The following is a 25,346-nucleotide window of genomic DNA, read 5'->3' on the forward strand; positions in this document are numbered from 1 at the left end:
GCCCTTGGCTCCAGTTTCTTACACATTCACTTATTTTCTAGTATTATGGACTCCTCCCCTGGTCCCTTTGGCATGATTAATGCCTCACTGTTGCTTGTGCGGTACTTGCCAGCAGTAGGGAAGTCGTCTGCATGCTTCATGAGTGTTCTGAGGTTCTATGCTTGCTCTATTGGAGATATTATTTTTACCAGTTGAGCACCTCCAGAGAAAGGCATATATTGGTTAAACTCCACTATTTTGCCTCTCACTGTCCATGCTTGGATGGTCTTGCCAAATTTTTGAGATTTTATTAAGTTGTTGCCCAAGCACTCAAAATGTTTTCTATTTGTTAGAAGGGTGCCCCTACTTGTCACCAGCTGAGACCACTTATCAATCCTGAGGTGACCACCTGATAATCACTTGACATTCCTGGGGCACATTCCCAGGGCCTCTACCTTACCCAACTCATCACTATCTGACTACCTGCTCTAACTGGGTAATTGGATATTCTATTGCCTGTGAAACTTTTGGTATCTAAAACTTTTACCAGTCAATATATACAGCCCATCAACTTTCTTCACTTTAATTGTAATATGAGTTTCATTTTCTTTTGCTGATACAGTAGTTAAGATTTTATTTTATACTTACTCATTTATTAATTTTGAAAGCATTATAATTAAAATAAAATTTATATGGCTGCCATCTAATATGTTTGTAGATGTTAGCCAAAAGTCTGGCACGGGAAAAGAAGGAGAAAAAAAAGTAGCAGGAGGGAGTTTTTATCTTTCTAAATGATTATATGTGCCTCCTAAAAGGTGTTTACCTATAAATTATAGGTGGTGGCAGCAGTAGCAGACAAAGGTGTGGTATGCAGCCCTTGATCATTTCAATGCTGCTCCTGTTGAGCCCATGGCAACCCAGCCCTGTGTGTAGCCCTCATCCTGCACTATGTCATCACATCCCCCCTGCTGGCATGGGCACATGAGCCTCAGGCAGACCGCAGGTGCGGGGCCTGAGCTGGCCTCTCCTGCTGTTGCTACTGCTGCTGCTTGAGCTGCTGGCCTCAGGAGTGCAGGAAACATGGGGTCACTGGGGAACTGAGAACAGCCACACTGGCATAGTCGACACCTTTTGCTGGAGCATCCATAGCCTGTTGTGAAAAGGCAATATCTGCTGCTCAAAAGATCTTGACCTGGCTCACCAAGAAGTTTGTGTTGGGAGTACATATGTTTCTACAGACATTGTGGAGAGTCTAGTAAGAGGTTTTGGATGTTCTTGGACTTGACATCTCCAACCTGTCCCAGCATTGCAACCCAGCCTCAGTGGCCAGCAGCCTAGCCTAGGCCCTTCTTTTGGTCAGTGCCAGCTGCTTGGCCTACTGATTCTAGTTTCTGACCCTGGACATAACCTTCAAAGCACTGCATCTGGTGTTCAGCACTTCTTCTGGATCGTGTGGACCATCCTGTTCTCCAGGTCCTGCAAGCACATTCTGCACAAGGATAAGGGTGAGGAATGAGGTGCTCCCTGTGCTTCACAGTAAAGTCCACCTTATGACCTGGCCCATGGGCTTTTACAGGCATGGCAGCTCTACTGTAAATAAGAAGCTGGAGCACCTGAGAACAAGGTCAGACTTTTCAACATTTGCCTCAACAGGGGGCTAAAAATTCTCCACTGCTCCAAAGAAGCGTAAAGGTTAGCCAACCATAAGTGCCAGTTTCTTTTTTCTTTTTTTTTTTTTTGAGACGGAGTCTCACTCTGTCACCCAGGCTGGAGTGCAATGGCGCGATCTTGGCCACTGCTACCTCCACCTTCTGGGCTCAAGGGATTCTCCTGCCTCAGCCTCCTGAGTAACTGGGATGACAGGCATATGTCACCACGCCCAGCTAATTTTTGTATTTTTAGTAGAGGCAGGGTTTCACGATGCTGGTCAGGTTGGTCTCAAACTCCTGACTTCAAGTGAACTGCCTGCCTTGGCCTCCCAAAGTGCCGTTACAGGCATGAGCCACCACACCTGGCCCATCAGTGCCAATTTCTACCAGTGCACTGTCTCAAAAAAACAAAATGGAGGGAAAAGAACAAACACCAGACCCCAAACAAAAAAAAAATGGCTGAGCAAGTAGGGGCAAATAGTAAAGATTTTTTTTTTTTTTTTTGAGACTGAGTCTCACTCTGTCACCAGGCTGGAGTGCAGTGGGGCAATCTCGGCTCACTGCAACCTCAGCCTCCAGGGTTCAAGCGATTCTCCTCCCTGAACCTCCTGAGCAGCTGGGACTACAGGTGCGCACCACCACACCCAGCTAATTTTTGTATTTTTAGTAGAGACGGCATTTCACCATGTTGGCCAGGATGATCTCCATCTCTTGACCTCGTGGTCCGCCAGCCTCACCTTCCCAAAGTGCTGGGATTACAGGCGTGAGCCACCGCACCCAGCCGCAAAGATATTTTTATCCTTTTATTAGTTCTTGGGACAGCTCTTTTTATTCCCAGAAGAATAAAAACAGCATTTGTGTAGATCTACACATGAAGTGTCATTAGTAGAAAAGCGTTTTTAAACAATGTATATAACCACATTTGTCTGTAAAGTAAGAGAAATTTGTGAGTAGAGAATAAAGTTAACTTTTCCTAGCATTTAAATATATTTTTGAAAGGGTAATTCATAAAGGCAGATTAAAGCTTCTTAAAACTTTACACTGAGGAAAGAATATGCTAATTTGACATTTTAGAAAAGTTTAAATGCAGGCCGGGCGCGGTGGCTCATGCCTGTAATCTCAGCACTTTGGGAGGCTGAGGTGGGCGGATCACGAGGTCAAGAAATCGAGACCATCCTGGCCAACATGGTGAAACCCCGTCTCTACTAAAAATACAAAAAATTAGCTGGGTGTGGTGGCATGCACCTGTAGTCCCAGCTGCCCAGGAGGCTGAGGCAGGAGAATTGCTTGAACCCGGGAGGCAGAGGTTGCAGTGAGCCGAGATAGTGCCATTGCACTCCAACCTGGTAACAGAGTGAGACTCCATCTCAAAAAAAAAAAAAAAAAAAAAGTGTAAATGCAAGTGTTTGTTTTTGCAGCTTAGGGTTTGTTGGGTAAGATCTGTGCAAATTATATTGACTTAGTTCGTGAATGTTGTCATTTCTAAATGTGGACAGTTGGGCTGGAGGATTAAACTCAACCTCTTTTGAATTCTGGTGGCCCTCTGCCAACACTCCATCATTCAGATTTCTAAATGAAACAATTATTTTTAGAAGACCTAAGATTTTTTTCCCTCTGTACTTTGATGTATTTTAACCTCAATATTTTGAATAGGAAAAGGAATGGAAGAGATGCCAAGGGGTTTGATGCCAAGAGCTATCTGGGTAACCGCTGAAGATCATTCAAGACTCAATTTAAAGTCCAAATGTTACTGCTAGCCAGCTAGGCCTATATACAAAAGCTATATCCTGGAAGGCTTTTTGTTGGTTTCATTTTGGTTTTGGTTAATGCGGGACATGAGAAGGAAAACAAACAGTAGTGGCTAATGACATTCTCAAATCTATTGCTGCTTAGAAAGCATTCTCACGAACAGTAAGCAGCAACAGACAAGCCTTGGAGAAAATCTGAATGGTTTTCTTTGAAATACTTATAGTAGGGTTGTTAGGTGCTTTTTCTGAGGCCTATTCTGCTCTCATTTTAGGTGGCCTCTATCAGCAGAGACTGAGACATACATAGTGGACAGCTGTGAGGACCCTGGGCAAGGGAGATTCAGAAGGCATGGGTCAGGGACTGGTGGAAACACTAGTCTGCTAGAACTCATTAGGAAGTGAAGCCCAGCATTTGCATAATGCAGCTGTGAAGGCGTCTGGTGATCATAAATGTCTCCATGGCCCTTCTCAGCCCACCAATGTGCTCCAGCAGCCACTCACACAGCCCTGCATGCAGGTTTGTAGGTAGTCCTGTCAGATCTGCTAGAATCAAGACCTTATAGTCCAGGTCTCAGTTTGAAGAAAACAGCTGTCTACCCACTCTTGTGAAAAGATTCTGTGAAATTTAACTTTGCATTGCAAGTGTTTGGGAAACAGGTGTAGATTTCTTTGAGGATGCTTACAAAACTACAGTTGTTTTTTTTGAGATGAAGCCTCACTGTCGCCCAGGCTGGAGTGCAATGGCGTGATCTCGGCTCACTGCAACCTCTCCCTCTGGGGTTCAAGTGATTCTCCTGCCTCAGCCTCCTGAGTAGCTGGGATTACAGGTGCATGCCACCACGGCCAGCTAATTTTTGTATTTTTACTAAAGATAAGAAAAATGTTCTCTCCACAGTAAGAATCAATATTATTTCATCACTGATATTTTCCGTCTCTGACTTGAAGCTACCAACTAACTCCAGCAGAAATGTTTTTGGCTTATTATGGACAATCTGTTACACAGCAAGCACCATCATGCTTGTTCACTATATTTATGTATAGAAACATCCTCATAAGGCCAGGCGCAGTGGCTCATGCCTGTAATCCTAGCACTTTGAGAGGCTGAGGTGAGCACATCACAAGGTCAGGAGATGGAGACCATCCTGGCTAACATGGTGAAACCTTGTCTCTACTAAAAATACAAAACAGAAAATTAGCTGGGCATGGTAGTGTGTGCCTGTAGCTACTCAGGAGGCTGAGGCAGGAGAATTGCTTGAACCTGGGAGGCAGAGGTTGCAGTGAGCCGAGATCATGCCACTGCACTCCAGTCTGGGTGACAGAGCAAGACTCTGTCTCAAAACAAAACAGAACAAAAAAACTTCAGAACTTATGAAGCCTCCCTAGTATTTACCTGAACTAATTAGCTCAATAAATTTACATATGTCAATTATAGAAAGTGAAATGAACAATAGCTAAAGTAGGTTTATATAGAAGTCTCCAATTAAATAAACAAAATCGAATATCCTAACTCAATATAACTTAAAACACTAATTGTGGAATTGCACCTAAAAATTATTTTGTGTGCACAACTAAATTTCATAAAAATCATTCTTATAATCCCCAGTGAGCTTACATAATACCTCATAAACTATAAAAGAAAAAATAATAAAAAAGAAAATTATGGGTCTAGCATGAGTACCAAGCAAGTAAAAAAAAAGTTTGCATGGGGAGATTCTGAACCATAAACCATAAGATCTTACAGTAATGAATTCAATAGAAAGCAGACAGTATAGATTTCCTTTCAGCATTTTTGAGGTTTTTAGTTTTCTAGTAAATTAGTCACCTTATTAAAATTACTTGTTTTGCTTCAATATTGATTTTTTCTTCCTAAAATAGGTAGACACTCATACAAGAACAGTTACTTACTCCATAATTTTCTTACACCTAAGGTTTATCTTTAGAGTAATGTATGTGTATATTTAACCCTATGTAAGTCAAAACTAAAACTCTGTATGTGTTTCAGGCAGAGCGGCCACATAGTCAAAGAAAAATATATACCAATGTTTATTCATGACTCAGGAATGTATGGACTTTATTTATACTTCTATATAATTTTTATAATTAAAATGACCCTGTAGTCAATAACAATTTAATTGTACATTAAAATAATGAAGTGTAGAATTGGCTTGTAATACAAAGGATAAATGCTGAAGGTAATAGATACTTTATCCTGATGTGACTAATACATATTATATGCCTGTATCAAAACATGTTATATATTGCATAAATATATACACATTTGGCCAGGTGCAGTGGCTCATGCCTGTGGTCCCAGAACTCTGGGAGGCCGAGGCAGGCAGATCATGAGGTCAGAAGATCGAGACCATCCTGGCCAACATGGTGAAACTCCATCTCTACTAAAAATACAAAAATTAGCCTGGTGTGATGGTGGACGCCTGTAATCCCAGCTATTCGGGAGGCTGAGGCAGGAGAATCACTTGAACCGGGGAGGTGGGGGTTGCAGTGAGCCAAGATCATGCCACTGTACTCCAGCCTGGGTGACAGAGCGAGACTCCATCTCCAAAAAAAAACCCAAACAAGTAGTGGGCGCCTGTGGTCCCAGCTACTTGGGAGGCTGAGGCAGGAGAATGGAGTGAACCTGGGAGGCGGAGCTTGCAGTGAGCCAAGATCGCGCCACTGCACTCCAGCCTGGGCGAGAGCAAGACTCTGTCTCAAAAAAAAAAACCAAACAAACAAAAAAAATTATGAATAGCACAAAGAATAAAATAAGGTAATTAAAATCATACTATGTACCCACAGAAATTAAGAACAGTAAGTTTAAATAAGACAAAAAAGAATATTTAACCTATAGAAAAATATTCTTTAACTTATTTGCAGTTGAAAGCCACTGGTGAAATAGATTAATAGAAATGTTAGTCCATTATGTTACCAAATAGTATATTGTTACCATCTTTTACATACACTCTTGAGTAAGGTGAAATAGGTTAAAGTTAGAAGCATAATAATGCTTCATTGAATGTACAATGGTCTTAACACATTTTTTTAAAAGTTATATTTACATGTAATCTAAAAATTTAAAAATGTACATTTAATTACATAAAATTACAATAAGTAAAATGACTTACTAATTTAACCAATTTTAACTAAAATAAAAAACTTTTGTCACTATAATGCAGAAGAATATTACTCTGAAAACCTATCTCCTGCATCACTCCTTTATAAGTTAACCACAAAGAGCCTCTCCAGTTACATTTTCATCACGCATCTTTTTTTTTTTTTTTTTTCTTTTTGAGATGGAGTTTGACTTTTGTTGCCCAGGTTGGAGTGCAATGGTATGATTTCGGCTCACTGAGACCTCCACTTTCCAGGTTCAAGTGATTCTCCTGCTTCAGCCTTTGAAGTAGCTGGGATTATAGGTGCCTGGTAAATTTTTGTATTTTTAGTAAAGACAGGGTTTCACCATGTTGGTCAGGCTGGTCTCAAACTCCTGACCTCAGGTGATCCACCGGCCTCAGCCTCCCAAAGTGCTGGGATTATAGGCATGAGCCACCATGCCTGGCTGCATCTTACACTTTAATATCCTTACTGTTCCATAAAAAATGTTTTAAATAATGCCCACCTAATAAAAGAATCTCTCATATCTTTGGTGCAGCAACAATTGGTCACATGCTTTCACATGTGAATATAGCAGGAATGAAAAAAGAGCATAAAGTTATTTGAGAGTTTAATTACATCATTATTCACTAATTTAAAAATCAGTAATTTTTTCAAGATAAAAGTATACTTTAATTGTAATTATAACTGAAAATCTTCTACTTCTTTTAATGTTATATACAAATAATTTATCCACCAAGTTTTATTTTGTGTTGTTTTCTGTACTTAGCACTGATTTAGTGTAATGTCTGAAGTGTCCGCGCCTTAGATATTTCTACTGTGAATTCTCAGATATTTACATAAACTTAATTTCGGATTAAATTTTTTTCATTTTTACTGCATCTGCAAAAACATATTTTAGTATGAACCCTGTGGTGTTTTCTATGCTGTGGTTTTTTTAAAAATGTTTTTCCAAACTGATTACATTTGTAGGGTTTTTCTCCAATATAAATTCCCTGATGTTGAATAAACTTTGTACTATCAACCAAGCATTATAGACCCTCATGTTTTATAAGCTGTAGTTTTTCAAAACTGTTTTTACAAATTTATTACATTTTCCAGGGGTTTTTTCCAATATAAATTTTCTGATGTTGAACAGTATTTGAGCAACTGCTTCAGGGTTTTCTTTAGTACAAAATGTGTACAATAAGATCTGTGATGCAAGTAATGGTACTACAACCCTCTTAATATTTGTAATGTTTGTCTTCAGAATGAATTATCTTCTTCACTTTAAAGGCTTTTATTTTCTGAAAGATCTTTTGACACTAGTTGCATCTATAATGGTTTTATTAAGTACAGACTCTCTGATGTTGAGTAAGATATGAGCACATATTAATGGCTTTTCCACATTCTTTGTGTATATACCTTTTTCCAAGTAAAAATTCTTTCCTGTGCAATAAGGTACGAGCATTAATTAAAAGTTTTGCCACATTCTTCACACTTGTAGAAGTTTACTCCAATGTAAATTATCTTACCTACAATCAAGTGTGACAACCATGTAAAGCCTTTATCACATTCTTTACATTTCTAGAATTTCTCACCAGTATAATTTATTTTATGTTTGAAAAAGTTTGAGGTGTTGTCAAAATCACTGTCACATCTTCAGGTTTGTAGAGTTTCTCTCCAGTATGAATTTTGTTATGTGTAGTAAGGTTTGAATATTGGTTGAAAGCTTTGCCACATTCTTTACATTTGTAGGGTTGCTCTTTAGTATGAATTCTCTTATGTGTATTAAGGTGTGAGGAATAGTTAAATGCTTTGCCACATTCTTCACATTTGTAGGGTTGCTCTCCAGTATGAATTTTCTTATGTTCAATAAGGTTTGAGGATCGGTTAAAAGCTTTGCCACATTTTTCACATTTGTAGGGTTTCTCTCCAGTATGAATAATCTTATGTGTAGAAAGGGTTGAGGACAGTTTAAAAGCTTTGCCACATTCTTCACATTTGTAGGGTTTCTCTCCAGTATGAATTATCTTATGTTTAGTAAGGGTTGAGGACCACTTAAAGGCTTTGCCACATTCTTCACATTTGTAGGGTTTCTCCTCAGTGTGAATTATCTTATGTTTAGTAAGAGTTGAGAACTGGTTAAAAGCTTTGCCACATTCTTCACATTTGTAGGGTTTTCCTCCAGTATGAATTTTTTTATGTGTAGTAAGGTTTGAAGATTGGGTAAAAGCTTTGCCACATTCTTCACATTTGTAGAATTTCTCTCCAGTATGAATTTTCTTATGTGTAGTAAGGTTTGAGGATTGGGTAAAAGCTTTGCCACATTCTTCACACTTGTAGGGTTTCTCTCCAGTATGAATCCTCTTATGTTTGGTAAGGATTGAGAAATGGTTAAAAGCTTTGCCACATTCTTCACATTTGTAGGGTTTCTCTCCAGTATGAGTTATCTTATGTTCAGTAAGCTTTGAGGACCACTTAAAAGCTTTGCCACATTCTTCACATTTGTAGGGTTTCTTTTCAATGTGAATTTTCTTATGTTTAGTAAGGTTTGAGGACCGGCTAAAAGCTTTGCCACATTCTTCACATTTGTACGGTTTTTCTGCAGTATGAATTCTCTTATGTGTAGTAAGGTTTGAGAACTGGTTAAAGGCTTTGCCACATACTTCACATTTGTAGGGTTTCTCTCCAGTATGAATTCTGTTATGTTTAGTAAGGGTTGAGGGCCAGTTAAAGGCTTTGCCACATTCTTCACATTTGTAGGGTTTCTCTCCAGTATGAGTTAACTTATGTTCAGTAAGCTTTGAGGACCACTTAAAAGCTTTGCCACATTCTTCACATTTGTAGGGTTTCTTTTCAGTATGAATTTTCTTATGTTTAGTAAGGTTTGAGGACCGGCTAAAAGCTTCACCACATTCTGTACATTTATAGAATTTCTCTGCAGTATGGATTCTCTTATGTGTAGTAAGGTTTGAGAACTGGTTAAAGGCTTTGCCACATTCTTCACATGTGTAGGGTTTCTCTCCAGTATGAATTCTCTTATGTTTAGTAAGAGTTGAGGGCCAGTTAAAGGCTTTGCCACATTCTTCACATTTGTAAGGTTTCTCTCCAGGATGAATTTTCTTATGTTCAGTAAGGTTTGAGGATTGGTTAAAAGCTTTGGCACATTCTTTACATTTGTAGAATTTCTCTCCAGTGCGAATTATCTTATGGGTAGTAAGGATTGAGGACTTGTTAAAAGCTTTGCCACATTCTTCACATTTGTAGAGTTTGTATCTAGTATAATTTTTTTTATGTGTAGTAAGGCGTGAGGACCAATTAAAGACTTTGCCACATTCTTCACATGTGTAGGGTTTCTCTCCAGTATTAATTCTCTTATGTTTAGTGATGATTGAAGGGCAGTTAAAAGCTTTTCCACATTTTTCACATTTGCAGAAATTCACTCTGGTATGAATTATTTTATGTTGAGCTAGATGTGGAAGCATGCAAAATGATTTGCCACATTCTTTGCATTTGAAAAGTTTTTTTTCAGTATGGCTTATCTTATGTCTGTTTGAATTTGAAAATTTATGAAAGGCTTTCACACATTTATCAAATAGAAATATTTTGCTCTGGGTAGCTGGCAAACATTGGTTAAATCCATTATAACCTCCTCTGTGCACCTTACACTCATCCACACTTTTATGGTCTTTTTTTAAATGTACATTTTTATGTTCACAGTTTTTATATCTTCTCAGTGTCGCTTTTTGGAAAGGATCTTTTATATGCTGCTCTGGCCAAAAGTCTTGGGTAAAATGAGAACACATAACTGAAAAAAATAAAAATAACAAATTATTCCACTTGCTAGACTCAGAGATAAATATACTTTATGTAACATATAAAATCACACAAGCTACATAAGCAAGATGTCATAGAAAAATACCACAGGCCCTAATTTATTTATAGACATATAAATGTAACAAAAACATACTGATCAAATCAGTGAAAAATTTACAAATAAGTGTGTGCAGTGCCCCAGGTGAGTCCAATGCAAAGAGCCACATAGAAGGAAAATATAAATTGGTTACATTTACCCAACACAGCTTTTTCTGCTCTCCAACATAACATAGTGCCTTTAGAAGTAAATTGCCAACTCCAATTATTTTGCATATAGCGGAATACCTGAGAGTGGATAATTTATAAAGAAAAAAGGCTTATTTTGCTCACAATTTGGCAGACTGTACAAGAAGTGTGTGTCAGCATCTGTTTCTGGTGAGGGTCTCAGGAAGCTTACTGTTATGGTAGAAGGCAAAGAGTAACTGGAAATGTCACATGGTAATAGGGAAAGTGTGAGGTGAAGGAGCCAGGTTCTTTTAATGAACCAGCTCTCTTTTGAATTAACAGAGTGTAAACTTTCTTATTACCAAGACTATGGTGCCAAGTCATTCATGAGGAATTCACCTCCATGACAAAAATACCTTTTTCCAGATCCCACATCCAACACTGAAGATTATACTGCAGCATGAGGTTTGGAAACATGGACATCCAAACCATATCACAGACAAAGGAGACTTAACAGACTCATACAAACCTTTCCAGTAAAAAGCAAGACAATATACAATATTCTTCTTTGCATCTTGTGTATTCTGCTAGGATAAATACCAAGTCTTATTAAATTTAAGAATACCAGCTGGGTGCAGTCGCTTATGCTTATAATCCTAAAATTTTGGAAACAAAAGTAGGAGGATCACTTGGGGCCACAAGTTTGAGACCAGCCAGGGCAACATAGTGAGACTCTGTCTCTACAAATAATAATAAAAAATTAGCCAGGGATGGTAGTGCATGTCTGTACACCCAGCTACTTAAGGGGCTAAGGTTGACTTGAGCCCAGGAGGTTGAGGCTGCAGTGAGCCAAAATCATGTCACTGCACTCCAGCCTGGGCAAGAGTAAGATCCTGTCTCAAAACAACAACAACAACGACGACGACAAATAAATTTAAGAAGACCAAAATTATACACTGTGTTTTTCGACCAAAATTGCATAAAACTAGGAATTAAAAGCAAAACTGGCAAATCCAAAAATATATCAAAATAAAACACACTCTTCAACATATTCTTGCTCAAGGACCGAAGAATTTAACTTTTCCAAAGTTGTCAATACAAGCTACAGTGGTGAACTAATTCAATATAATCTCTACATAAAATTCAATGGTACAATTTTTCACAGAAATATTCTTCACAATTTTAAAATTTGATTAAAAACTATAGCCAAGCCAGGCATGGTGGCTCACACTTGTAATCCTAGCACTTTGGGAGGCCAAGGCAGGTGGATTTCCTGCTGAGCTCAGGAGTTCGAGACCAGCCTGGGCAACATGGTGAAACCCTGTCTCTACTAAAATACAAAAAATTAGCTGGGCATGGCTATATGTGCCTGTAATCCCAGCTACTTGGGAGGCTGAGGCAGGAGAATTGCTAGAACCCAAGAGGCAGAGCTTTCAGTGAGCCAAGATCATGCCACTGCACTCCAGCCTGGGCAACAGAGCGAGACTCTGTCTCTAAAAAAAAAAACAAAAAAAAAAAACTATAGCCAAGCAACTATGAAAACAATAAAGAGGCATTATACTTTCTGATTTCAAAACATATTAAAAGCTACAATAACAATGTGGTACTGACACAAAGACAGATAAGTAGATGAAAGAACAGAATAAAGAGTCCTAAAATGAACCCTTCTGTGTATGATCAAATGAACTTCTACAAAGTTGCCATGAGGAAGCAATAGAAAAAAATCTCTTCAAAAAATGATGCTGAAACGTGGATACCAACACTAATAAAATAAAGTTGGATAATTTTCTTGAATTATATATACAAATATTTTAAATAAAACACATAGAAAAAAGGAACTAACAAATCTTTTAAAAAGAAATATGGAAAAAAGACATGACATTGGTCTTGGCACCATTTTCTTAGACACAACCTTAAATGCATGAACAGCAAAGAAAAGAACAGAAAAATTTAACTACACTATACCTCGAAATTACTGTACATCAAAGAAAACATTCAATAGAGAGACAATGCCTCCTAGAAAATGAGTGAAAGTATTTGTAAATCACATGTGATATTCCTTAATATTCATAATATACAAACAACTTTTTTTTTCTTTTTTTTTGAGACGGAGTCTCACTCTGTCACCCATGCTGGAGTGCAGCGGGGCGTTCTCAGCTCACTGCACACTCCATCTCCCGGGTTCACACCATTCTCCTGTCTCGGCCTCCCGAGTAGCTGGGATTACAGGCGCGCACCACCACGCCCGGCTAATTTTTTATATTTTTAGTAGAGACAGGGTTTAACCATGGTCTCGATCTCCTGACCTCGTGATCCGCCCGCCTCAGCCTCCCAAAGTGCTGGGATTATAGGCGTAAGCCACTGCTCCTGGCCTATAAACAACTCTTAAAACTAACAATAAAGTTGAATAATCTGATTTGGAAATGGACAAATAATTGAACTAAATTTTTACCAAAAATATACACAAATGGGAAGAAGCATTTAAAAAGACACAAAATTACAATTTGTAGAGAAATGCATAAAAATCACAATGAAAAACAAAATCACCTATCACCCATTTAGAATGGCTACTATAAATTTTTTAAAAATACAAAATCTGTTGATGATGCAATAAAAATAAAACCATCCAGGTAGGTACAGTGGCTCACATCTTTAAACCCAGTGCTTTGGGAGGCTGAGACAGGTGAATCACCATAGGTCAGAAGTTCGAGATCAGCCCGGCCAACATGGCAAAACCCCATCTCTACTAAAAACACAAAAATTAGCCGGGCATAGTGGTGGGTGCCTGTAATCTCGGCTACCCTGAGGCTGAGGCAGGAGAATTGTTTGAACCTGGGACATGAGAACAAATCACTGCACTTCAGTCTGGGTGACAGAGTGTGACTCCATCTCAAAAAAAAATAATAATAAAAAATTACAAATTAAAAAAAAAAACCTATGTTGACTGTTGATGGAAAACAAGGAGGCCGAGGTGGGCAGATCGCCTGAGGTCATAAGTTCGAGACCAGCCTGATCAACATGGAATAACTCCATCTCTACTAAAAATACAAAATTAACCAGGCATGGTGGCACATGCCTGTAATCCCAGCTACTCAGGAAGCTGAGGCAGAAGACTCACTTGAACCCAGTGGGGCAGAGGTTGCAGTGAACTGAGAGCACGCCATTGGACTCCAGCCTAGGCGACAAGAGTGAAACTCTGTCTCCAAAAAAAAAAAAAAATTATAAATGTTTCTCAGATACTTAAAAATGAAATCATCAAATACAAAAATCTCATTTATGAATCTATATTCATAACAGAAAATGCAGGACCTGAATGACATATGAACATCCATATTTTTTGTATCAGTATGCACAAAAGCCAAAAGGCTGAAGAAACTTAGATGTCCCTTGATTTATAAATACATCAAAAAATTAATATAGATCTACAATGTAATATTATTCAGCCTTCAAATAGAAAATCTTGCCTCATTTTAAGATAAATTTTGAGAATATTATGTCACCTGAAATTAGCAAGTAATGAAATTATGGATACCATATGACTCAACTTATTTGAGATATCTTAAGTAGTCACACTCATAAAATCAGCAAGTAAAACGCTGTTTGTCAAGCGCTGAAAAGAGGGCAAAATGAGCACTTGTTACTTAATGTGTATTTAGTTTCACAGGTGTAAAATTTCTAGAAGTTTTTTGAATAACAATGTAAATATTTTTATCATGAGTGAAAAGTACTTTTTTTTTTTTAAGACAGGTTCTCACTTTGTCACCCAAGCTTAAGTACAGTGGCACAATTATGGCTCACTGTAGACTCTAACTTCAAAGCTCATGTAATCCCTCCCCCTCAATCTCCCAAAAAGCTTGTACCATGGGTGCATACCACCATGCCTGGCTATTTTCAAAAATTATTTGTAGAGAGGGAATCTCCATATATTGCCCAGACTAGTCTCAAACTTTGGCCTGAAGCAATCCACCTGTCTTGGCCTCCCAAAATCCTGGGATTACAGATGTGAGTCACCATCATGCCTGAAATGTACACTTCAATAGATTTAAGATGGTAAATTTCATGTTACATGTTTTTACAACACTAACATTAAAAAAAAACAAAAAAATACAGCATTATAAACTTTTTAAAAAATTACCCTCAAATTACAAAAGTGTTTCTCTCATACAAAGAAAATATACATTCATCATTAAACACATGGTGAAAATAGACTATTTCCATGACTACTAACTTAGAGAAGACAAAACAACCATTAAAAATTAGCTAAAAAATAATATATACAAGATAAGCTTTAACCAAAATTGGGGTCATATATTTATAAACACACACACACATATATAATATGATTGTGATAGACATTTGGTGATTGATCTCTTTTTTTTTTTTTTTCTGAGATGGAGTCTTGCTCTGTCGCCCAGGCTGGAGTGCAACGGCACGATCTGGCTCACTGCAATCTCCACTTCCCGGGTTTGAGCGATTCTCCTGCTTCAGCCTCCTGAGTAGCTGGGACTACAGGTGCGTACCACTATGCCCGGCTAATTTTTTGTATTTTTAGTAGAGACGGGGTTTCACCGTGTTAGCCAGGATGGTCTCATCTCCTGACCTTGTGATCCATCTGCCTCAGCCTCTCAAAGTGCTGGGATTGCAGGCGTGAGCCACCGTGCCCGGCCAATTAAAGCCCAATATGGGATTTAATTATCTCTTAATTAAAGCATACAGAATTGAAAATTGTCTGAAATTATAATACATAGGTAAAACCAAAAAACACAATAAACTGATGTTAAGAAACCTACACTGAAGAAATACACTAATATGAAACTGGAAAACAATAATAAGAGAAATGTTTACTCATAAAATCTGGTATGCAAGGCCAGGCACAGTGGCTCATGCCTGTAATCCCAGCACTTTGGGAGGCCGAGGCAGGCGGATCACCTGAGGTCAGAAATTCAAGACCAGCCTGACCAATATGATGAAACCCTGTCTCTACTAAAAATACAAAAATTAGCTGGGCATGATGGCAAATGCCTATAATCCCAGCTACTCAGGAGGCTGAGACAGGAGAATCGCTGGAACCTGGAGGGGCGGAGGTTGCAGTGAGCCGAGATCATGCCATTGCACTCCAGCCTGGGCAACGAGAGCAAAACTCCATTTCAAAAAAAAAAAAAATCTGGTATGCAACATTGATGCACCATTAAAGAAGAATTTGTTTAGATAACTACAATATTTGTAACTTTGTACTTCTGCATCATTGGCATGAACTGTACAGCAGTAAAATTTTAGAGAAAATGCAGTATAATCATAAATACAAGATTGTAATGAGAAACTTTTAATAAACATTTAAAAGAAACTATAGATAATTTTTATATTTTAAGTAGATGCTATACTTACAAAAAATGAAACTGCTGTAATCCAACTTTAGAGGCAAAGAATAGCCTTACAACTAAATTACATATATATATATATATATATATTTTGCAGAATACGGTTACAGCCTCTGATATATAAAACAAATATTTGGGAATAAATTATATTATTTATAATTAGGGTACAAAAGTAGGTACAAATCCTATCATTCTCTTTTACCTACAGCAAACTTAAATTTATAACTATATTAGTAAATATGGAGTGCTTACTGATTATCTAATTTACTTCAGACATAATATGTAAATTCTAGTATAATTGTCCTAAATGTCTGAATCCAAAATTACAGACAAATTTGGAAATAAAAAATAGAAACTGGGTCAGGCATGGTGGCTCATGCCTGTAATCCCAGCACTTTGAGAGGCTGAGATGGGTGGATCATTTGAGGTCAGAAGTTATAGACCAACCTGACTAACATGGTGAAATCCCATCTCTACTTAAAATACAAAAAAATTAGCCAGGTGTGATGGGGGACACCTGTAACCTCAGGTACTTGGGAGGCTGAGGCAGCAGAATCAGTTGAAACTGGGAAGTGGAGGTTGCAATGAGCTGAGACTGTGCCATTGCACTCCAGCCTGGGCAACAGAGCGAGACTCTGACGCAAAAAAAAAAAAGAAAAGAAAAGAAAAACTAAAAACTAAAAATGTATAGGGAGAGTGACAACAGTAAGATGGAAAAATAAAAGGTGCCCTACTTGCTTATCCCCACAGAGCAAGAACGTTTCTCAGCCATCCTAGACAAAAATGCCTTTATGAGAGCCAGGAGGCATCATGGCTCACACTTGCAATGACAGCTACACGGTACATTGAGGTAGGAGAATTGCTTCAGGTCAGGAATTTAAGATCAGGCTGGGTTATGTAGCAAGACCCCATCTGAAAAATAAGTTCCTTTAAAAGAGCTTTGAGATCCAGGCAGGCAGTTGTAAAACTCACATAAAGCCCAAGATTAAGGAGTTTTCTTTTTCAGAAGGCAGGCTCTCATTCAGGTGGCAAACTACGGGACCCCTGTTCTTAACTACAGACCAGAAAATGGCCCACCCAACTTGGTCCCACAGAAAATTCTGAACTTACTCTGTAAGCATCCCAAACTGCTTCCAGCCACAGTTTGGGAGAGGTCCTGTTCTTCAAAAGGCCTGGAGGAAGATACTGGTTTATAGTGATGCAGGCCTTTACTGTGGACCCTGAAGCAGTTCAATGACTGTTCCAGCTCCCTGAGCCATGGTTTATGGCCAGTTCTGCCTAACTAGAAACCCACACAGTTACCTGGGGAAATCCTCTCTGGTACTCAGTGAAAACCGCACTCATCCACAACCTGATATAAAGCCCACCATATGCAGACCCGACTGCAAAAAACTGCCCTAGTGTTCTGCCCTACAGAGGAAAGTCCAAAAATAAAATGGAAATTACAACTACCCAAGCCCCTTGTAACAAGCCAACTAAAGGCGGACCCTAGTGCAGACTCAGCAGCCTTGTGACCAAGCAACGACCCCTCTTCACTACAGGCCAGGGGTGGTGGCTCATGCCTGTAATCCCAGCAATTTGGAAGGCCGAGGCAGACAGATCACCTGAGGTCAGGAGTCTGAGACCAACCTGGCCAAACATGGCGAAACCCTGTCTCTACTAAAAATACAAAAATTAGCCAGGCATGGTGGCATGGGCCTGTAATCCCATCTACTCGGGAGGCTGAGAGAGAAGGCAGAGGTTGCAGTGAGCCGAGATTGTGCCACTGTACTCCAGCCTGGGTGACAGAGCAAGCCTCTGTCTTTAAAAAAAAAAAAAAAGCCACGGTATCCAAAGTGATCTATAAATTTAATAAACTTTCTATCAAAATTCCAGTGGGATTTTTTTCACAGTAATGGACAATGCAATTCTAAAATATACATGAAACTAGAATAAACTTTGAACAAAGCAATCTTGAGGAAAAAGAACAAAGCAAAGAAACATCATAATTCATAATTTCATATTATTTAAAGGCTACAGTAATAAAAACAGGATGAACTGTGCAGAAAATATACAAAGAAATCCAATGGAACAGAAAGCACTACTCACACATTTCAGACATGATGTAAAGAAAGAACTTAAAAAATAGTTTAATATACAGTTTCTCAAAAGTATGCAGATATTTGTGTGTCCCCCAAAAGAATGGAAAAGCAGTCAGATTGTTCAGTCTCTTAAATGTCATGAAGAGGACTTTGGCTGTCATGGTAAACTTGAAGGAAGATCACCGAAGGGAAATAAGAATCCTGAGAGAATGTAAAAGCATAAGACAGAAGATACCCTTGTGTGAAAGCAAAATGAAAAAACTCAGGCTTTCCAGAAACTCTTTCCTTTGGAACACAGCTTCCCAAGTCACATTTTAAGGACTGGCTTTCCCCTTAACCTTTGGACTTCTCATCTGTGTTTGTTGTATTCACTTTCACTCTCACCTACCTGGGGGTTTGGCTACCATTTCATGTCTCCTCATAGGCTCCCAAGGCTCTTTTTCTTGCTCCAGACAGGTGATCAGGTCTGGCTTAGAGACAGCAATACCTGTTTCAATAAAAAATAAATTACGTGAATCTTGCTCATATTCTCCCATTATTAACCTAGTAATGTGTCCAGTATGAAGGGTGTGATAGAATATCCTAATCATTAATCCCAAAATACTAATTTTTTTTTTTTTGGAGATGGAGTCTCAATCTGTCACCAAGGCTGGAGTACAGTGGTGCGATCTTGGCCCCCTGCAATCTCCACCTCCGGGATTCAAGCAATTCCAATGCCTCAGTCTCCCAAGTAGTTGGGATTACAAGCGTGTGCCACCATGCCTGATTAATTTTTGTATTTTTAGTAGAGACAGGGTTTTGCCATGTTGGTCAGGCTGGTCTCAAACTCCTGACCGGGTGATCCGCCTGCCTTGGCATCCCAAAGTGCTGGGATTACAGGCATGAGCCACCGTACCTGGCCCCAAAATACTAATTTTTAACAAAAATTTCTTCTTGTTTGAGACAGAGTCTCACTCTGTTGCCCAGTCTGGAGTGCAGTGGCACGATCTCGGCTCACTGCAACCTCCACCTCCTGGGTTCAAGCCATTCTCCTGCCTCAGGCTCCTGAGTAGCTGGGATTACTGGCATGAAACACCACACCTGGCTAATTTTTGCATTTTTAGTAGAGATGCGGTTTTGCCATGTTGGTCAGGCTGGTCTCAAACTCCTGACCTCAGGTATCTGCCTGCCTCGGCCTCCCAGAGTACCGGGATTACAGGAGTAAGCCACCATGCCTGGCCTTTAACAAAAATTTGTAAATATTTAGAAAGTATCTTATTTTGTAGGTTCTTAATTTCACTACCTGGTAATACTGAATCAAAAATTAATGTTGGCAATTAGATTTTAAGTTGTGGGCAACAGTATTTTATGCCACTTAATTTCTGGAATTACTACTAATCTGGAGTGAAAGATCAGCTCAGAAATGTGGAAAGTTCAGGTCAAGATGAAACATCTTGAAAAAAATTCTTTAGTGCGCCAACAAATCCCAATTTTTTTGAAAACAGGAATCTGAAACTCATGAATGCAAAGTATAAATTACCAAAAAAACAGTCTACAGAAAACAAAAATGAAATCTTTAGGGTATATTAGGAATTGAGTATTGAAGTTATGCTCACCCAGGAAGACCAGGTTTCTGTAGTTCTCTAACATCACATTCCTATATAAATTCTGCTGTGCAATGTCCAGGCATTGCCACTCCTCCAGACAGAATTCTATGGCCACATCCATAAATGTCAATGGTCCCTAAAAAAAACAACACATACACACACAAACACACACATTTACCAAGTGGCCACAGGCAGAATTTATAATTTGACTCAAGGTAAAATGAGAGAGTAAAGAGAACAGGTACTGACTTATAGAAGAGACTGAAATTATCCAATAAAATAATTCTTTTCATGGAATTATTCTCCAATGTATTTTCTACCCCTGAGAAAAGAAAGTGATGTAAGATCCACAACATCAGTGTATATATAATACTTTTCTGGATGATAAACTGTAAAATTAAGGGCATGAACACAAAAGTAAATTTTTGAGTTCTCTATTTGCATCATACAGAATCAGTTGCGAATATTTTTCAGATAAAGACATGTTGAGTTAGAAGGGACCTTTAAAATATTAAGGTGTACAATAAACTGAGGATCCTGTTAATGAAGATTATTTTTTCAGAAGATCTGGAATAAAGTCTGAGTTTCTAAGTTTCTAACAAGCTTACCAGTAATGCCAATGATTTTGGCCCAGAAAGACTATTTTGTCAAACATCCAGTAAATGGAAAAGTCTGTGTTTTTTTTCTAGTTTTTCTGGCAAGTAAACAAAGATAAGAGCTTTCATTTTCAAAAGACAGATAAATGCAAAGAAAACCTAAGAAAGAAGAGCAGCTGCCAGATTAAATGTGATGGTTTACGTACATCAGTTGCATAAAGATTCTTAATAATATGGCCGGGCATGGTGGCTCACACCTGTAATCCTAGCACTTTGGGAGGCTGAGGCAGGTGGATCACCTGAGGTCAGGAGTTTGAGACCAGCCTGGCCAACGTGGAGAAAACCCATCTCTACTAAAAATACAAAAATTAGCCAAGCGTGGTAGCACATGCCTGTAGTCCCAGTTACTCAAGGGGCTGAGGCAAGAGAATCGCTTGAACCCGAGAGGTGGAGGTTGCAGTGAGCTGAGATCACATCATTGCATTCCAGCCTGGGTCAAAGAGCAAGACTCCATCTCAAAATAATAATAATAATAATATATATATATAATATATACATATATATTAATATATTTTATATATATACACACACATATACATTTAAAAAAAAGACAAATGGCTGGGCATGGTGGATCACACCTATAATCCCAGCACTTTGGGAGGTCAAGGTGGGTGGATCACGAGATTAGGAGTTCGAGACAAGCCTGGCCAAGATGGTGAAACCCCGTCTGTACTAAAAATACAAAAATTAGCTGGGTGCGGTGGCGGGTGCCTGTAATCCCAGCTACTCAGGTGGTTGAGGCAGGAGATTTGCTTGAACCCAGGAGGCAGAGGTTGCAGTGAGCCAAGATGGCACCACTGCACTATAGCCTGGGTGACAGAGAAAGACTCTGTCTCAAAAAAAAAAAGAAAGAAAAAAGGAAAATAATTATTTAGGGAAAGAGTCTGTCAGAGAGCCCTTGATAATCAAGTGAATAATTAACATAAAATGTACTAGAACAAATTTTAAGATGTGCTGATGCACGCAAAAAGACACAGCATCACTGCTGTGATATTGCCCCCAAAAAGTAAATTATAATCTAAATTTAACCATAAAGAAATATCAGTTTTATGCAAAGTTCAAGATACAGATGTCTCCCATGTTCTGTAATTTTTTTTTTTTTTTTTTTTTTGAGGTGAAGTTTCTCTTGTTGCCCAGGCTGAAGTGCAATGGTGCGATCTCGGCTCACTGTAACCTCTGCCTCCCAGGTTCAAGCAATTCTCCTGCCTCAGCCTCCTGAGTAGCTAGGATTACAGGCATGTGCCACCACACCTGACTAATTTTCTTGTGTTTTTAGTAGAGATGGGTTTCATTATGTTGGTCAGGCTGGTCTCAAACTCCTGAACTCCAGTGATCCACCCACCTCGGCCTCTCAAAGTGGTGGGATTACAGGCATGAGCCACCACACCCGGCTGTAATTTTTTTTTTTTTTTTTTTTTTTTAAGATGGAGTCTCGCTCAGTCGCCCAGGCTAGAGTGCGGTGGCGCGAATCTCCGCTCACTGCAAGCTCCTCCTCCTGGGTTCATGTCATTCTCCCGCCTCAGCCTCCAGAGTAGCTGGGACTACAGGAGCCCAGCACTACGCCCTGCTATTTTTTTTGTATTTTTTTTCGTAGAGACGGGGTTTCACCGTGTTACCGCGCCTGGCCAACCAGGCTGTAATTTTTAATAGTAATTTTTAGTAGTCTATCTTTAGCACCCATAAAGCAAGTATATCCTGATAGTATTTTTCAGAACTTTCTGCTTTATAAATGTCTTCTTGTTTAAACAAGCATTTTCTGAATCCTATTCTGCATAGAGCTAATAAAAAACAGACTGAAACTCAACATTACATGTTCTCCATTTTTAGTAAGGACCCCAGTTTTCCCCAATAGAAATCTTGAGTATCCACACCTTCCCATGTTCAACAACCATGAAAGGATCATTTTTAATATTGCAGTTCATAAAGTCATGGTGAGAATTCTGCATGGCATATTAGAAGCCATGATGTAGAGAATGTAGAGAAGGCTCTGTTATATAGAAAAGAAATATTTTGCAGAGACCCTTGCCTATCATAAAAATTTAAAAAGCAGTTAAAACAAACTCATTAGGGAGGAAAAACACAAGTAGCAAAGTACAGGTTTACAAGTACTAAACACATGGCATTCCAGGAAGCAGAGTGGACACAGCTCTTGATCTGAGACATGTTTAGCTGAAAAAAAGCCATTTTTTTCTCTGTCTCTGGGAATCCTTTCCAGATGAGATTCTCTGGACAAATTACACCTGCATCTTGAGAATATGCCTTTAAAGCTGTCAGCACCACCTATTTGCCTACTACCACCACACCCACAGGCAGAAGGACCAAGACCTGCAGAAAAAGTTCACCTATTTTTGTCCTTTATAACCGAAGAGATTCAGCAAGAATGAACTGCTCCACGGAGATGCTAATATGAGTTTCACCTTTTCTATCCTCAGGTGCCCTCCTCTGCCATGGACACCAGCAATTTTTGCTACAGTAATGGAAATATGGGCCACACTGTCCTGTCCCTACCAAACCCAAACAGAACAGGCCCTGTAACCACCCTTTAGTGCAAAGTAAAACTTAACTCTTGTGTATGTATCTTGAACCTTTTATACTTGATTCTAGCCTCATTTTGGAGTCACATGAGGCACTTAATTAAAACAACATGGATGCTTCCACGCAGAATCTGAACCAAATTATAAACAGAACAATAAGCAGGCCTGACCTAAATAAGGCCTCCAAAAGGGGTGAATCTGAACAGAAAAAAAGCAGAGAGATGAACCTATGTAGAATTCTGTTCCGTGGCCGGGCGCGGTGGCTCACGCCTGTAATCCCAGCACTTTGGGAGGCCGAGGCGGGTGGATCACAAGGTCAGGAGATCGAGACCATCCTGGCTAACACAGTGAAACCCTGTCTCTACTAAAAATACAAAAAATTAGCCGGGCACGGTGGCGGGCACCTGTAGTCCCAGCTACTGGGGAGGCTGAGGGGGGAGAATGACGTGAACCCAGGAGGCGGAGCTTACAGTGAGCCGAGATCGCGCCACTGCACTCCAGCCTGGGTGACAGAGCAAGACTCCGTCTCAGAAAAAAAAAAAATAAAGAATTGTGTTCCCTATGCCACTGGGTTATTTCCTGTTCGGTTTTTCCTAAGCTTACCTAAGACAAAATTAAATTCCAGAGTTTGTGTAATTTTAATCTTTTTTAGCCGCTGCCCTGTCAATTTCATAACATATACCAATAAGCAATTTAAACAAATCCCTTAAGGTTTTCTAGGAGAATTTATTATTGTAAGATAAATATGTATTCTTAGCAAGGTAAGATGAATAGAAACAGTACTATTTTTTCAATAAACATTCCTTCAAGTGATGATATCAGAAGTCAGAACAATACAAAGAAAGTGGACAAATAAAGCCAAAGTTTTTTTTGCACACATCTACTCATTGTACCAACAATATAATGCTAAATTCAACCATGTATCCAGTTGCTAGCCTAGACTAAAAATTCCTGGATGATAGGGATGACTGCTTCATCTATTTTTTTAATGGCCATAAGAAATGGTAGAAATTAGTTTATCTGTTTGAGTCTCCAGATCTCCTGTTTTTCACCCAACTACAAGAAAACTGCAAAAACTCTCATCTGGGTACCATCTTACACAAGATGAGAAACAAGAACAGCATGACTAATTTATCCTAGACTGAGACAGAGCAGAATTAACCATTCTTGTCAGCATGACACAATTCTGTTCTGGACATTTTCAAATGTCGCAAAGATGTCTAGTTGATTGTGAGAGGATTCCAGTGACCCAGAGCTGACTGCCCAATGATAAGCCGGGCAAGAAAGAATCAGGCCTTTTTTTTTTTTTTTTTTTTTTTCGTGAGATGGAGTTTCGCTCTTGTTGCCCAGGCTGGAGTGCAATGGCACAATCTCAGCTCACTGCAACCTCCAAGCGATTCTCCTGCCTCAGCCTCCCAAGTAGCTGGGATTACAGGCATGTGCAACCACACCTGGCTAATTTTTTTTGTATTTAGTAGAGATGGGGTTACACCATGTTGGTCAGGCTGATCTCAAACTTCTAACCTCAGGTGATCCATCCATCTCGGCCTCCCAAAGTGCTGAGATTACAGGTGTGAGCCACCACATCCAGCCTCAGGCTGATTCTAAATAGAAAATAGAACTGCCTGGCCAGGCGCAGTGGCTCACGAATGTAATCCCAGCATTTGGGGAGGCTGAGGTGGGTGGATCACGAGGTCAGATCAAGACCATCCTGGCTAACACGGTGAAACCCTGTCTCTACTAAAAACACAAAACAAAAAAAAATTAGCCGGGCGTGGTGATGGGTGCCTGTAGTCCCAGCTACTCTGGAGGCTGAGGGAGAATGACATGAACCCGGGAGGCGGAGCTTGCAGTGCACCAAGATCGTGCCACTGCGCTCCAGCCCAGGGCGACAGTGAGACTCTGTCTCAAAAAAAGAAAATAGAACTGCCCTGGTAGAGCTCCAGAACCTGCATCACCTGTCCTGATTAGCTAGCTCTTAGGTAAGAAAAAAAGACAAAAATACCCTACTCCAGTATCGTATTTTATGGGTAGGTATAGCTGTGGTCATAGCTCTGGACATTTTGTGGTCTTGATCTCTCACTCCTAAGATGCTTGTTTACACTTACAGATTCTGCCATTAGATTCTATTTACACCTGGAGCCTCTCACGTAAGTGTTAGCAGGTCACTGAGCAAAATCTGAAAAGTTCAAAAAGCCACACTCTCAAAGGGGTCTTTAAGGTGTCTATGTTGATTTCTCACAATGCAGAAAATGTCTCTTGCTAATTTTCTGTACATTCTCAATCCAAAACCTGGCCCTGTCTTGTGAATCCCAGGCAGAGGCCAAACTATATGTACAGATTCTATGTTGGATCAACCTGGCTCTGCATTCTTGGGTGTTAAAGCAAGCAGGGTACAATCAAAAGAGATCCCCTCATAGAGGCTGCTGTAGCACATTTAAAATAATATGTTTACCTAAAAAAAAAAAAAAAAAAAGAAAAAAGAAAGAAAAAAGAAATCTGAGGCAACATGAATATAAGTAAATCATTTATTTGGGCCAAGCTTGAGGATTATAACCTGGGAGCAATGATTCAAGTTGTCTGGAATGTAAACTTTAG

General features: G+C 39.3%; 1 protein-coding gene and 1 pseudogene across 17 annotated transcripts in view; one reads left to right on the forward strand and one right to left on the reverse strand.

Moving 5' to 3' along the window:
* Nucleotides 953-1,660, forward strand: BRI3BPP1 (BRI3 binding protein pseudogene 1; annotated as a pseudogene).
* Nucleotides 5,419-25,346, reverse strand: part of ZNF43 (zinc finger protein 43) — a 47,120-nt gene continuing 27,192 nt past the window's right edge. For 13 of the 17 annotated variants that reach the window (NM_001256653.2, NM_001256650.2, NM_001256649.2 and 10 more), the window contains 3 exons: nucleotides 19,568-19,694; nucleotides 18,361-18,459; nucleotides 5,419-10,280 (listed from right to left, as the gene is read on the reverse strand). In NM_001256653.2, the coding sequence (NP_001243582.1) occupies nucleotides 8,080-10,280; nucleotides 18,361-18,459; nucleotides 19,568-19,694 (2,427 nt within the window). In that variant the 3' untranslated portion in view covers nucleotides 5,419-8,079. Of the gene's footprint in view, nucleotides 10,281-18,360; nucleotides 18,460-19,567; nucleotides 19,695-19,807; nucleotides 19,881-25,346 lie in introns of all 17 variants that reach the window. The other 4 variants (NM_001256651.2, XM_047439316.1, NM_001256654.2 and 1 more) reach the window with 2 other exon arrangements.

This window comes from Homo sapiens, chromosome 19 (assembly GCF_000001405.40).
Source record: "Homo sapiens chromosome 19, GRCh38.p14 Primary Assembly".
Taxonomy (NCBI): Eukaryota; Metazoa; Chordata; class Mammalia; order Primates; family Hominidae; genus Homo; species Homo sapiens.